The sequence below is a fragment of the Homo sapiens genome, chromosome 2 (genome assembly GCF_000001405.40).
Source record: "Homo sapiens chromosome 2, GRCh38.p14 Primary Assembly".
Lineage (NCBI taxonomy): Eukaryota > Metazoa > Chordata > Mammalia > Primates > Hominidae > Homo > Homo sapiens.
In genome coordinates, this window is record NC_000002.12 from 183,179,226 (window position 1) to 183,192,952 (window position 13,727).

The 13,727-nt window shown below is 37.4% G+C and overlaps 1 long non-coding RNA gene across 1 annotated transcript in view; it reads left to right on the top strand.

The window, feature by feature from the left end:
• LOC124906103 (uncharacterized) overlaps window positions 1-13,727 on the top strand; it is a 41,076-nt gene that overhangs the window by 4,887 nt on the left and 22,462 nt on the right. The window contains exon 2 of the long non-coding RNA XR_007087332.1: window positions 1-13,727. This exon is cut by the window's right edge and continues 22,462 nt beyond it. This is a non-coding gene — a long non-coding RNA (uncharacterized LOC124906103).

Here is a 13,727-nt window from a genome sequence, read left to right on the forward strand (position 1 = left end):
AGATGCCCTGCCCAGTGAGGAGGAATCTAAAGAGGAAGTCTGGCCACAGTCGCTTTTCTGTGCTGGGGTGAATTCCACACAGTCTGAACTTCCCGGTTGCTTCCTTAACACTGTGTGGGGAAAACCGCCTACTCAAGCCTCAGTAATGGCAGACTTCCCAACCCCCACCAAGCTCAAGCATCTCAGGTCAGTTTCAGACTGCTGAGCTGGCAGCCACAATTTCAAGCCAGTGGTTCTTAGCTTGCTGGAACCCAGCAAGCTAAGAGTGGGAGTGGGACCTGCTGAGTGAGACCACTTGGCTCCTTGGCTTCAGCCCCCTTTCCGGGGGTGTGAACGATTCTGTCTCGCTGGGGTTTCAGGCGCTCCTGGGGTACGAAAAATAAACCCCTGCAGCTAGCTCAGTGTCTGCCCAAACAGGCACCCAGTTTTGTGCTTGAAACCCAGGGCCCTGGTGGTATAGACATATGAGGGAATCTCCTGGTCTGCAGTTTGTAAAAACTGTGGGAAAACTGTAGTATCTGGGTTGGATAGCACAGTCCCTTGACTAGGTGAGGGAGGTCCCTGGACCCTTGCACTTCCCGGGTGAGGTGACGCCCCACCCTGTTTCTGCTTGCCCTCCATGGGCTACACCCACTGTCTAACCAGTCCCAGTGAGATGAACCGGGTACCTCAGTTGGAAATGCAGAAATCACCCGCCTTCTGTGTTGTTCTCGCAGGGAGCTGCAGATGGGAGCTGTTGCTATTCAGTCATCTTGCCCAGGAACAACTAGAGTTAAATTTAAATACAGAAGCTGGAAAATCTGATATAAAAATCAGTTGCTGTATTTAAGATTTTAGGAAGATTGACAGCTTTTCCTTTACTTTTTGTTTTCCTTTCCACCTTTCTTAAGGCTTGGTTTCAGCCCTATTATACATATTTACTTTTATCAGAAAGGATCAGAAATGTTTTTTGAGTGTAATGAACAGGCATAAATACTTTTTCAAAACATTTTTCTTAAAACATTTTTCTAAAAATATTTTTCTTTTTCAAAGTTTTTTTTTTTTTTTTGAGACAGAGCCTCGCTCTGTCGCCCAGGCTGGAGTGCAGTGGTGCAATCTTGGCTCACTGCAAGCTCTGCCTCCTGGGTTCACACCATTCTCCTGCCTCAGCCTCCCGAGTAGCTGGGACTACAGGTGCCTGCCACCACACCTGGCTAATTTTTTTTTGTATTTTTAGTAGATGCGGGGTTTCACCGTGTTAGCCAGGATGGTCTTGATCTCCTGACCTCATGGCAGTAGAGCTGAGTAATTTATATCCTTAATATCAGACACTGAATTTTGACAGTTCAAGAAGACTTTTATACTATATTTCAGCATTAATATGTATGTATTTTTCCCAGGAAATCAAGATTAATGTGATCTGGACCAATTAAATAAATTTAAAGTTATTTAATTCGTTTATGGAAAAATGATACATTATTTGTAGCAAAGCCAAGCCTAAATTTTCTCTGAAGCAAATCCTAACCCTCCATTTACATTTTTCTCTTTTTTCCTCTTTCTTCCCACAAACCAAGTCCTTGTTAAAACTAACGTTGCTGAAAATTTAGTGAAGAATAAAAAGATAATTGTCTCTAAGCCCATGTTTCAGTATTTTAAAAAATATGGGTATTTTTTTACAGCATTCCAATTTGGCTGCCTCAAGCAGTAACAGCACATGAGATTTATTAATTGATCATCAGTACATAACTGTCTTCTAAATTTGTATGAAATAGTGTCTCAGTAAGACCTACCTCCATCTGAGGCAATGAATTTCAGCTTGGAACAGTAGAACTGCTCCAATCAGTGATGGTTAAATTATAGCTATAGGAGAATATGACAAAGGAAAACTTTTGGGCCAACATGTAGAAAGATCAGAAATAGGATTTAGCAGTCACTCATAGAATGTTCTTAAAAAGAAGTTTCCTCAAGCCAGCTGTATTCAGTATAGTACGTATATTGATGGAAGCTAATTCTCTATTGTGCTTTTGTGTTTCAAAATAAGTTGACCTTACTGTATACTAGAAGACCACTAGCTTCAAAAATCGCTCTTCAGTGATGGAAATATAATATATAAGCATTCTTAAGGAAAATCTCCCATTCCTCTGGTCTTTGTGCTCAAATGTTAGCTACAATAGATACGCTACTTCCGCTATCCTTTCTAAACTGGAAAAGCTGAAGTCTTCTCAGGAGAAATGTCTAGTCAAGCCCTTAGCCCATTTTTTTGTTGTTGTTGTTGGCTTATATTAGTTTTTTTGCTTTGAGCTCTATTAATTCCTTGTACATTCTGGGGATTAGCACTTATCAGATATGTTGTTTTCATGAATATTTTCTCCCATTGTGTAGGTTGCGTTTTCACTCTGTCAGTGTTTCTTTTGCTGTGCAGAAGATTTTTAGTTTGATATAGTCCTACTTATTTATTTTGCTTTTGGGTTCACATCCATAAAATCACCACCAAGACCAAAGTCAAGGAGTCCTGATCCCATGTTTTCTTCTAGGAGTTTTATAGTTTCAGGTCTTAGGTTTAAGTCTTTAATCCATTTTGAGTTGATTTTGTATACAGGGTAAGATAAGGGCTCAATTTTATTCTTGTACATGTGAATATTCAGTTTTCCTCACCACATTTGTTGAAAAAGACTATCATTGTTCCAACATGTATTCTTTGCATCCTTGCCAAAGGTCAGTGATCATATATGTGTAGGTTTACTTTGGAGTTCTCTATTTTTCCATTGGTCTATATGGCTGTCCTTATGCCAGTACCATGTACCATACTGTTTTTTGATTACTGTAGCTTCATAAAATATTTTGAAATCAGGAAATGCAGTGCCTCTAGCTTTGTTCTTTGTCAGGATTGATTTGGTTCATAATCTTTTGTTCTATATGAAGTATATAACCTTTTTTCTATTTCTGTAAAACATGTCTTTGAAATTTTGAAGGGATTGCATTGAATCTGAAAATTGCTTTGAGTAGTATAGACATTTGAACAATAGTAAGTTTTCCAATTCAGCAACACAGGATGTATTTACATTTGTTGTCTTTTGTTTAATTTCTTTCAGCAATGTTTTGTAGTTTTTAGTATATAAATCTTTCACCTCTTTTTTCCCTAGGTTTATTCTTATTTCAAAGTATTTTATTCTTTTCAGTACTTTTGTAAATGAGATTGCTTTCATAATTTCCTTTTCAGGTAGTTTGTTGTTAGTGTATAGAAAGGCAACTTATTTTTGTATGTTGGTTTTGTATCCTGCAACTTAACTGAATTCATTTGTTATTTATAGTATATATTTTTAAGTATTTGTGGTTTTCTTTTTTATTTTAGAGATAGGATCTTGTTCTCTCACCTGAGTTGGAGTGCAGTGGTGCGATCATAGCTCACTGAAACCTTGAACTCTTGAGCTCAAGTGATCCTCCTGCCTCAGCGTTTCAAGCACCTGGGACCACAGGTATGTGCCACCATACCTGGCTAATTTAAAAATTTTTCTTTTGTAGAGGCAAGGTCTCACTATGTTGACAAGGCTGATTTTGAACTCTTAAACTCAAGTGATCCTCCCGTCTTGGCCTCCCAAGTGCTGAGATTACAGATGTGAACCACTGTGCCCAGCCTGGGGTTTTCTATATAAGATCATGTTGTTAGCAAACAGGGATATTTTTACTTCTTTCCAATTCAGATGCCTTTTATATTTTGTTTTGTTTTTGAATTGCACTGTCTAGGACTTTCAGTATTATGTTAAATAGAAGTGGTGAGAGTGGGCATTCTTGTTTTGTTCCTGATTTTAGAGGAAAAGCTTTTATTTTTTTCACAGTTGTGTATGATGTTAGCTGTGGGCTTTTCATACACAGCCTTTATTGTGTTTAGGTATTTTTCTTTTATTTCTAGTTTGTTGAGAGTGTGTCTCTGAAACCGTGTTGAACTTAGTTAAATGCTTTTTCTGCGTCTTTTGAGATGATCATATGGTAAAAATATTTTATTCTGGTAATGTGGTAAATCATACTAATTGATTTTCATGTGTTGAGACCCTGTGTTTCTTCTAGTAGGTTTAAAGTTGAAATCTTATATGTTTTTAGTTGATTTTTATATATGGTATGAGTTAAGGTTCCAATTTCATTCTTCTGCTTGTGATTATGCAGTTTTCCCAACACTATTTGTTGAAGAGACCGTCCTTTTCCATTATGTGTTCTTGGTCCTTTTGTGAAAAATCAACTGACTCTTAATTTATTCCTAAGTTCTTTTTTTGATGCTCTTATAAATGGGATTGTTATCTTGATTTCCTTTTTAAGATAGTTCACTGTTAGTGTATAGAAATGCTACTGATGTTTGTATGTTGAATTTGTAATGTGCAAACTTTACTGAACTTATCAGTTCTAGCAGTTTATTGGTGAAATCTATAGTGCTTTCTTAATATTAAATCATGTCATCAATGGAGATGATATCACTCCTTTCGTATATGGATGCCTTTTATTTCTTTTTCTTGCCTAATTGCTCTGGCTAGGACTTCCAGTACTTTGTTGAATAGAAATGGTGAGAATAGGCTTCTTTGTTTTGTTTCTGATCTTGGAGGAAAAGCTTTCAACTTTTCACCATTGAGTATGATGTTAGCTGTGGGCTTGTCATACATGGCCTTTATTGTGTTGAGGTATATTCCTTCCATACCTTTTGTTTTTTGTGAGAGTTTTCAATATTAATGGATGTTGAACTTTGTCAAATGCTTTTTTTTTGCATCTATTGAAATGATCATGTGGTTTTTGTGCTTCATTCTGTTGATTTGATGTATCACATTTATTTGCATATGTTGAACCATCCTTGCATCCCTGATAGAATTTCCAGTTGATCATACTGAATGATCTTTTTGATGTACTGTTGAGGATTTTTGTGTCTGTTCATCAGGGATATTAGTGTATAGTTTTCTTTGCTGTGTCTTTGATTTGGTATCAGGTAATGCTGGTCTCATGGAATGAGTTAGGGAGATTTCCTCATCTTCAATTTTTTGAAATAGTTTGAAGAGGATTGGTATTAATTTTTCTTTAATTCAGTAGTGAATCCACCTGGTCCTGGGCTTTTCTTTGTTGAGAGACCTTTTATTACTGATTCAATCTTGCTACTCATTATTGTCTGTTCAGGTTTTTTATTTCTTCCTAATTAATGCTTGGTAGGTTGTATGCTTCCAGAAATTATCCATTTTCTTTAGATTTTTCAATTTGTTAGCATATAGTTATTCTTAATAGTCTAGGATGATGTTCCATATTTCTGTAGTATCAGTTGTAATGACTCCTTTTTCATTTCTGATTTTGTTTATGTGGATCTACTGTGTTCTTTTTTTGGTTAGTCTAACTAGTGATTTATCAATTTTACTTAACTTTTCCAAAAACAAACTTTTCATTTCATTGATGCTTTGTATTGCTTTTTTAGTCTTCATTTTGTTTAGTTCAGATCTGATATTTTTTGTTTCTCTTTTGCTGCTGACTTTGGGATTGGCTCGTTTCTGCTTTTCTGGTTCCTTGCAGTGCATTGTTATTTATTTAAAATCTTTCTATTTTTTTGGTGTAGGCATTTATTACTATAAACTTCCCTCTTGGCACTGTTTTTCTGTAAAATACAAGTTTTGATATGCTATATTCTCTTTTTCAAAAAATTTCTGTTTCAAGAAATTTTAAAATATTTATCTTAATTTCATCATTGACCCCATCATTTCTCAGGACCATGTTGTTTAATTTCCATGAATTTGGATAGCTTTCAAAGTCCCTCTTGGTATTGATTCCAAGTTTTATTCCACTGTAGTCTGAGAAGATACCTAATATGATTTTGACTTTCTAAAATTTGTTGAGGCTTGTTTTGTGGCCTAACATATGGTCTGTTCTGGAGAATGTTTCATGTTCTGATTAGAAGAATATTTATTTTGCAGTTGTTGGAAAAAAATGTTCTGTAAATGTCTATTAGGTTCATTTTGTCTAAAGTCCACTTTAAATCCAATGTTAATTTGCTTAGTTTCTATCTAAATTGTCTGTCTAATGCTGATAGTCCCCACTATTATTATATTGGAGTTTATCACTTTAGATCTCATAATGTTTTCTTTATGAATCTGGGTGGTGTGTGTGTTTGGTGGTAGTGGCAGGTTGAGTGGACCTGACCTCAGATCCCATGAGGGGTGCTCAGGTGTGCCACTGGTAGTGGACTTGGCTGGGCATTCCCCAGGGCTTTGGACAGTGTGCTCAGGTACTGGAGTCGGGGGTTGGATCCAGGCTGGGCTGTGCTCTTAGATCGTCAAGTAGTGCATATAGATGCTAGCGGTGGTATGCAGTGGTGGAATGGACCCTAGACCCCCCAGCAGAATGCTCAATTGGAAGTCACAGTGGCTGTGCTGTGCCCCTGCTACTGGGGAGGACTTAGGCAGGTAGCAGTCTTAGGCAGGCAGCTAGGAGGCATGGGCTTTGCTGGTGCAGCTGTGGCAGTTGCAGACAGTGGAATTTGTCCTTGAGGGTGTGTGAGAATGCTTGACAAACCCTCTGCAGTGGGGTAGGTTTGCTGCTGGTGACTCTCTCCTCACCCCAGCTGTAGGGTAGTATGCAGTCCAGTGTGGAGTAGGCTCTTAAAGTGGTGCTGTGCTGCCACTGCTTAGGATTCAGGGTTTTGTGGGATCCAGTGTGTGCTCTCTGGAGCTGTGCCTTTGTGCAGTTTCTAGGGAGCTTCTTTTGTTAGCCTCAGGGCTAGTGAATGTTGAGGGGCTCTCCTGAGGCTAGGATTATAGGAATCCTTTTGGGAATGTGGGTTGCTGGGGCTCCCTCACTTATCTTTTTCCAAGCTTGGGGAGTCTCTCCTGGCTCATAGCCAATCTCAGTCTCCACCAAGGAGGCTGTCGCGCTTCCCTCTTTTTCCTTGCTTTAGGTGTTTCCTGTCACTTCTCTGTTGAATTCCAGTGTTCTTTCCTGGATGATCTATTTGATGTGTGACTACTGACTAGTTTTGTTCTTCTTAGCGGAGGAGTCGAGTAGATGCCTCTGATCAGACATCTTGAAGCCTCTCCCATTAGGTTGTTTGAGATATTTCTCCTATTTTGGCGTAGGTTTTTATTGCTATAAACTTTCAGGACTGCTTTTGCTGCATTTTGTAAGCTTTGGTATGTTGTATTTCCATTTTTGTTTGTCTCAAGATATTTTTAAATTTCCTTTTTAATTTCTTCTTTGACTCATTGGTAGTTAAGGAGCATGCTGTTTAATTTTCACATACTTGTGAATTTTCCAAGATTCCTCCTGTTATTATTATCTAGTTTCATGCCATTGTGGCTAGAAAAGATATTTGATATGATTTCAGTCTTTATACATTTGTTAAGACTTGTTCTGTGACCTAACTAATAATCTATCCTGGAGAATGTTCTATGTGGTGATGAGAAGAATATTCTGCAATTGTTGGATAAAACGTTTTGTAAATGTCTGTTAGGTCCATTTGGTATAAATTGTAATTCAAGTCCAATATTTTCTTGTCTGCCTCTTTCTGCAGATATTGTAATATTTGCTTTATATATTTAGGTGCTGTAATGTTGGATGCATGTATATTTATAATTGTTATATCTGCTTGATGAATTGACCCTATAATGATCTTTTTTGTCTGTTTTACAGTTTTGATTTAAAGTCTATTTTGTCCATATTCTCTTTTGGTTTTTATTTGTGTGAAATATCTTTTTTCCATCCCTTTACTTTCAGTCTTTGTGAGTCCTTAAAGGTGAAGTGAGTCACTTGTAGGCAACATATAGATAAGTCTTGTTTTTTTATTCGTTCAGCCACTCTGTGTCTTTTGATTGGAAAATTTAATCCATTTACATTCAAAGTAATTATTCATAGGTGAGGTCTTACTATTGCCATTTTGTTAATTGTTTTCTAGTTAATTTGTAGACCCTTTGTTTCTCTCTTCCTCTGTTGCTGTCATCCTTTGTGGTTTGATAATTTTCCATAGTGGTATTATTACAAGTTAGACAGGCATTAGTGGGGCAGAAGAGGGCTCTCCCCCACCCACTAGGAATGTCAGGTGATGGTTCGACTGACAGTTATCACAATGATAATTTGGCAGCTGGCACCAGGAACAGACAATCTCCTAATGGTCCACAAGCTGTTAACATTAAAGTGTTAATTGAATGCAGACACCAGGGAGAAGCAAAAAGGGCTTCCAATAAAATCTCAGGTATTGGGCTAGTGAGCCTGGGCACATGCATTCAGTGACAAAATGGCTGAGTATGACCTTCCAGGGTCACTCCACTGGAAAAGGGAAGAAAGCCTCAGATGAGCATGTGTACAACTTCCTGAACACACTGTACATGCACACTTCCCAAGCATAAGGAGGGCACTGTGCATGCAGGCAGCCCATCCTAAGGGAAGAATCAAGGAAAAAGGTTGCAAGACGCCGGAGGTGGGCCAGCCTGTAAACTCCTAGGATCAAGGTTAAATGCTGCATTTGACCTTCTCGGTGCCTGCTTGGGTCTCTTCCGAGTGTACTTTCCTTTCTTTCCTGCTCTAAAGCTTTTTAAATAAACTTCCACTCCTGTTCTGAAACTTGCCTCAGTCTCTTTTTCTTTTTTTTTTGAGATGGAGTCTTGCTCTGTTGCCCAGGCTGGAGTGCAGTGGCATTATCTCAGCTCACTGCAACCTCTACCTCCTGGGTGCAAGTGATTTTCCTGCTTCAGCTTTCTGAGTAGCTGGGATTACAGGCATGCACCATGCCCAGCTTTGTATTTCTTTTTTTTTTTTTAGTAGAGATGGGGTTTCACCATGTTGGCCAGGCTGGTCTCGAACTCCTGACTTCGTGATCAACCCACCCCAGACTCCCAAAGTCCTGGTATTACAGGCGTGAGCCACCGTGTCCGGCCCTCAGTCTCTTTTTCTGTCTTATGCCCCTCAGTCGAATTCTTTCCTGAGGAGGCAGGAATTGAGGTTGCTGCAGACCTGTACAGATTTTGCCCATGGTAACTAGGATACCTTACACTGGTAATGGTGTGCTTTGAATTCTTTATTTTTATCCTGTGTATATCTACTATAGGTTTTTGCTTTGTAGTTATCATTAGGCTTGCATAAAACATTTTATACTAATAACAGGCTGTTTTAAGCTGATAATAACTTAACTTTGATCACTTGCACAAACTCAACTCTTTTACTCCCCCCTCTCAGTTTGTTTTGTTGACATGTTTTGTATATTTTATGGTTTGTGTCCCTTGACAAATTAGTAGCTGTAGTTGTTTTTAATAGATTTGTTTTTTTTGTTTGTTTTTTTTTTAAAGAAAGGTAGGAGGATCACTTGAGGCCAGGATGAAGAAAGCCTACTTAATATAACAAGACCCTGTCTCTACAAAAAAATAAAATAAAATAAATTAGGCATGGTGGCATGTGCCTGTAGTCACAGCTACTGGGAAGGCTGAGGCAGAGGATGGCTTGAACCCAGGAGTTCAAGGCTGCAGTGAGCCATAGTCACACCACTGCACTCCAGCCTGAGTGACACAGTGAGATCCTGTCAACAACAACAACAATAACAAAACACAAAGAAAAAGTGAGTATTGAAATAGTCTAAAGTGAAGGAATAAAAAGATAATGTCTTATGAAAAGGGAATGTTAAAATGAAAGCTTCCTAACTTGTTTCAATGTAGCTAGCTCCTGAAGAAGTTAAAAGTCCATCTTGGAAGGATTTTAGAAGTGGTAAATTAGGTCTAGGGTTCATAGGAAAAACAAAAAAAAACTGCTTGAAGATGAAGAAAACACGCACAGAATAGCCTATGCAAATAGACTCTGGTAATAACTCTAATGACTCAGACACCATAGAAAATCTCAGATTTAGGAACTTCTGGTCTGGCTCCTGATTTGAGATGATACAAGTTGTATTATAAACTGATTAGGTACAGAAGGGCCCAGAGCATCTGAGTAGGATGGTTCATGAGACACAGTTAAGGAGTAGAAGCAAAAGACTTTCAGACCAATTGGGGTGTGTGATAAATAAAGCTTAATTTTGAAATTTGAGATGCATTTTATTTGGCAGAATTCTTGGTAAGCTGGTCTCTTAAGAAAAGCAATCATCCTCAGGTGCAAAAACCTTATCCTAAGAGCCTGGTAAGAAGGGTAATAATTTGAAAAGATACAGAGACTAATGAAGAAAACAATGCTATAAGTGTGACATTTTGGGAGGAGAGAGAAATGTCAAGAGGCATTTTAGGCAACTTTCTATATGATGTGTGCTATATACAACTTTGGCTGGGTGCGGTGGCTCATGCCTGTAATCCCAGAACTTTGGGGGGCTGATCACTTGAGGTCAGGAGTTTGAGACCAGCTTGACCAACATAGTGAAACCCTGTCTCTACTAAAAAATACAAAAATTAGTCAGGTGCGGTGGCGGGTGCCTGTAATCCCAGCTACCTGGGAATCTGAGGCAGGAGAATCGCTTGAACCTGGGAGGCGGAAGTTAGAAGAGCCAAGATCATGCCACTGCCCTCCAGCCTGGGCGACAAAGCTAGACTCCGTCTCAAACAAACAAACAAACAAACAAACAAACAAAAAACCAACTTAGTCTGTGTTGTACTTGTCAGGAAAACTACAGTAAATATCTGTTTTTCAAGGCTTCTGAATTACCATTTTTTGATAAGTTTGATAAGGAGAAATAGGCTATATAAAAGCCCACATACATTTAGATTATGTGTGTATCTTCTCTTACCTAGGGTTATCCAGTATATTTCCTTTTAAAGGAAACATCTTTCCCTCTAAACACTGAATACATAATTCAGAAATTCTCTGAGAGGTTGAAAATTATTTCCTCACATTTGGAGATAAGAATATAAAATATTAATTCACTTTTTTAAAAAAGAGAGTAAATCATTGTTTCTTTTACCGTCACCTACTGCATAACATTCCACATCTAACCCCCTTTGTATGGCCATAGCGTATATCTTATTGAGATTAAATACACTTTTTACACAAACCAAATAATTCTTTTAGTTTTCTAGATAACTGGCATCATAATACTTCTGTTTCTGTTTTTTTAAAATTGGGACCTATTTTGTTATTACCCTATATTACTAGTGTAATAAAATAATATCACTTAATGTTCTCATATCCTTTAATTATAGACTGAGTAGTGTTGGAGGAAAGTCCCTGGGGCCTAGTAGAGGGACAAGTTGTGGACTGTTAGACATGGTCTAACAGTCTAAAGCTCTAAGCAGCCAACTAAATTGTTTGAAGTATAAAAGTGGCAAATGCAATCTTCATATTTATTTGGTGACTGCAGTAAGTAGCATCTGTAATTTTCAAAGACCACGTAAAATCAATACCACAGAGAGGATCAAGGCTAGCTATAGCCCTGAAAATCCAGCACAGTCCCAAGCCTCCCTTTGTATAACAAATATGTTATTATTTCTCCTTTATAATCTTAACACGGAATTCTTAGATAATTTAACCTACCTACATGCAAAAATTTAGGAAAATAAATGTAATGCCCTAGTTGTAAAATAAAAAAGGAATAAAAATAAAACAATAAATACATTCCAGTTTGTAAATCCATGAGCACAATTACAATTACACTTGAAGACATAATGATGTGTATCTTTTTTTTTTTTTTTTTTTTTTTTTTGAGATGGAGTTTCTCTCTCGTTGCCCAGGCTGGAGTGCAATGGCATGATCTCGGCTCACCACAACCTCCACCTCCTGGTTTCAAGCAATTCTCCTGCCTCAGCCTCCCAAGTAGCTGGGATTACAGGCATGTGCCACCACGCCTAGCTAATTTTGTATTTTTAGTAGAGAGAGGGTTTCTCCACGTTGGTCAGGCTGGTGTCAAACTCCCTACCTCAGGTGATCTGCCCAACCTTGGCCTCCCAAAGTGCTGGGATTACAGGCGTGAGCCACCGTGCCTGGCCAAATGATGTGTGTCTATACATAGAAAGCATGTTGAATGCAATAGTTAATAATGCACATTGTATTGTATTATACATTGAAGGAGCATAATTGATGGTGACATTTTTTCCAAAATATTGAGAAACTCTTTGCTAAGTTCTGGGTAGAACAAATACATTTTTCCCTTGATTACATGGTACCACATATATGGTTACTGCATAAAGAATGCCAGACATACTTTGTATTTACATGTGAAGTGGAGTTAGGTTCCAGGCCCAAGTAATTATAAATAAGTTTTCACTTGCAGAAATCAGGCAAATTGCCATTTCATTTTTAAGTGTATAGTCCTAGTGATCATATTGCAGTATATCTGGCATGTCTGGCCCCCACCCTTTAAATGCCACTAGTATTCCTCCCAATTATTTTGACAACTAAAAAAGTTTCCCACCATTTTCACCTCTGTTGAAATATTGCTCTCCTACATTTCCTTGAGGTTTAACTGTTACAGTGTTAATGGAAAGAATAACACATCTATCAATTGAACATATGAGGTCCACAAGTAATAGGCTCCTGTTGGCTGTTTTAACAAAAGTTTTTTTTTTTTTTTTTTTGACTTGTAACGCTAGCTATCTTTAGGTCTCTAGATATTGCACCCTCCATATGCAATCAGATTCTAAAACTTCTGATAAAAAATGCATCTCCTGGAAATGTCTGTGAAAAGGTTTGTAGACAACTAGTCAGTGTGGTAGACAGAACAATGGAACCTAAGAATATGTATATGTTATCTTGGCACAAGGGACTTTGCAGGTGTGATCAAATTAAGGATCTTGAGGTGGAGAGATTATTCTGGATTATCTGGGTTGTCCCAGTGTGATCACAAGGGTCTTAATATGGGAAAGGGGGAGGCAGGGGAGTCAGATCAGATTCAGAGAGAGATTTGAAGATGCGATACTGCCGGCTTTAAATGCCCATTGAACTCTGCTTCAAAAAATGAAAACACACCTCTATAAAATGTATATTGGGAATAAACTTTGTATTTACATACATTGGGGAATTTTAAAAAAATGTAATGTTTGGACATTACATATTTTACCATATTACTTTGCTATATTTGGACATTCCATATTTTACCATATTACTTTGTTATAAAATTATAAATTTAACTTTTAATACAGATTGCCAGAATATTCTAGATTAGAGATTAGGTTTTTGTTTTCCTCAAGACATAAAACAAGTATGAACATTCTAAACTGCTGGATGAATCTGAAAGACAGTAATTTCAAAACTCAATTTATACTCATGTTAAATATAACTACATTAAGAGTTTAAAATTTCATGGGAGAAAATATAATAAAGAGATAGGATCATTTATAGTCTTAAGAATAATGTTGGTTTCCCAAGTGCGTTTCTTAGCAATTAAAGCATAAGGTGAATTGAAATTTGCTTCATAGGCAGTTTGACTGTATGTATCAGAGAATGAAAAGAGGACATTTGTAGTAATGCATGGAAACTTGCTGCTTCAAATTAAAGTTCTCCTCTGCTGTTGTAGAATGGATTCCATACAGTAGCTAGTTGTGGATGATTCAGAAAATTATGAGTTTAGAGTCCCAGTTGTTAATTTATAAGTTTTGTGGGGAAGTATCACCTGCATTTGTGCTGAATAAAATATACGTGGATTCTTTAAAAAAAATCACAATTTTTTTCTAAATTTATTTTTTAAAAAGTTTTTAGAGAGAATAAATACAAAATTAGTCAATTTGAACATGTTTTGTTCACATTCTTTAAATTGCTTGTTGGTCTCCTTAACAATTTTTCTTTTCCTTTGACCCTCTGCTTTTCTCATTTTTATTTTCCTCCTTGAAGAA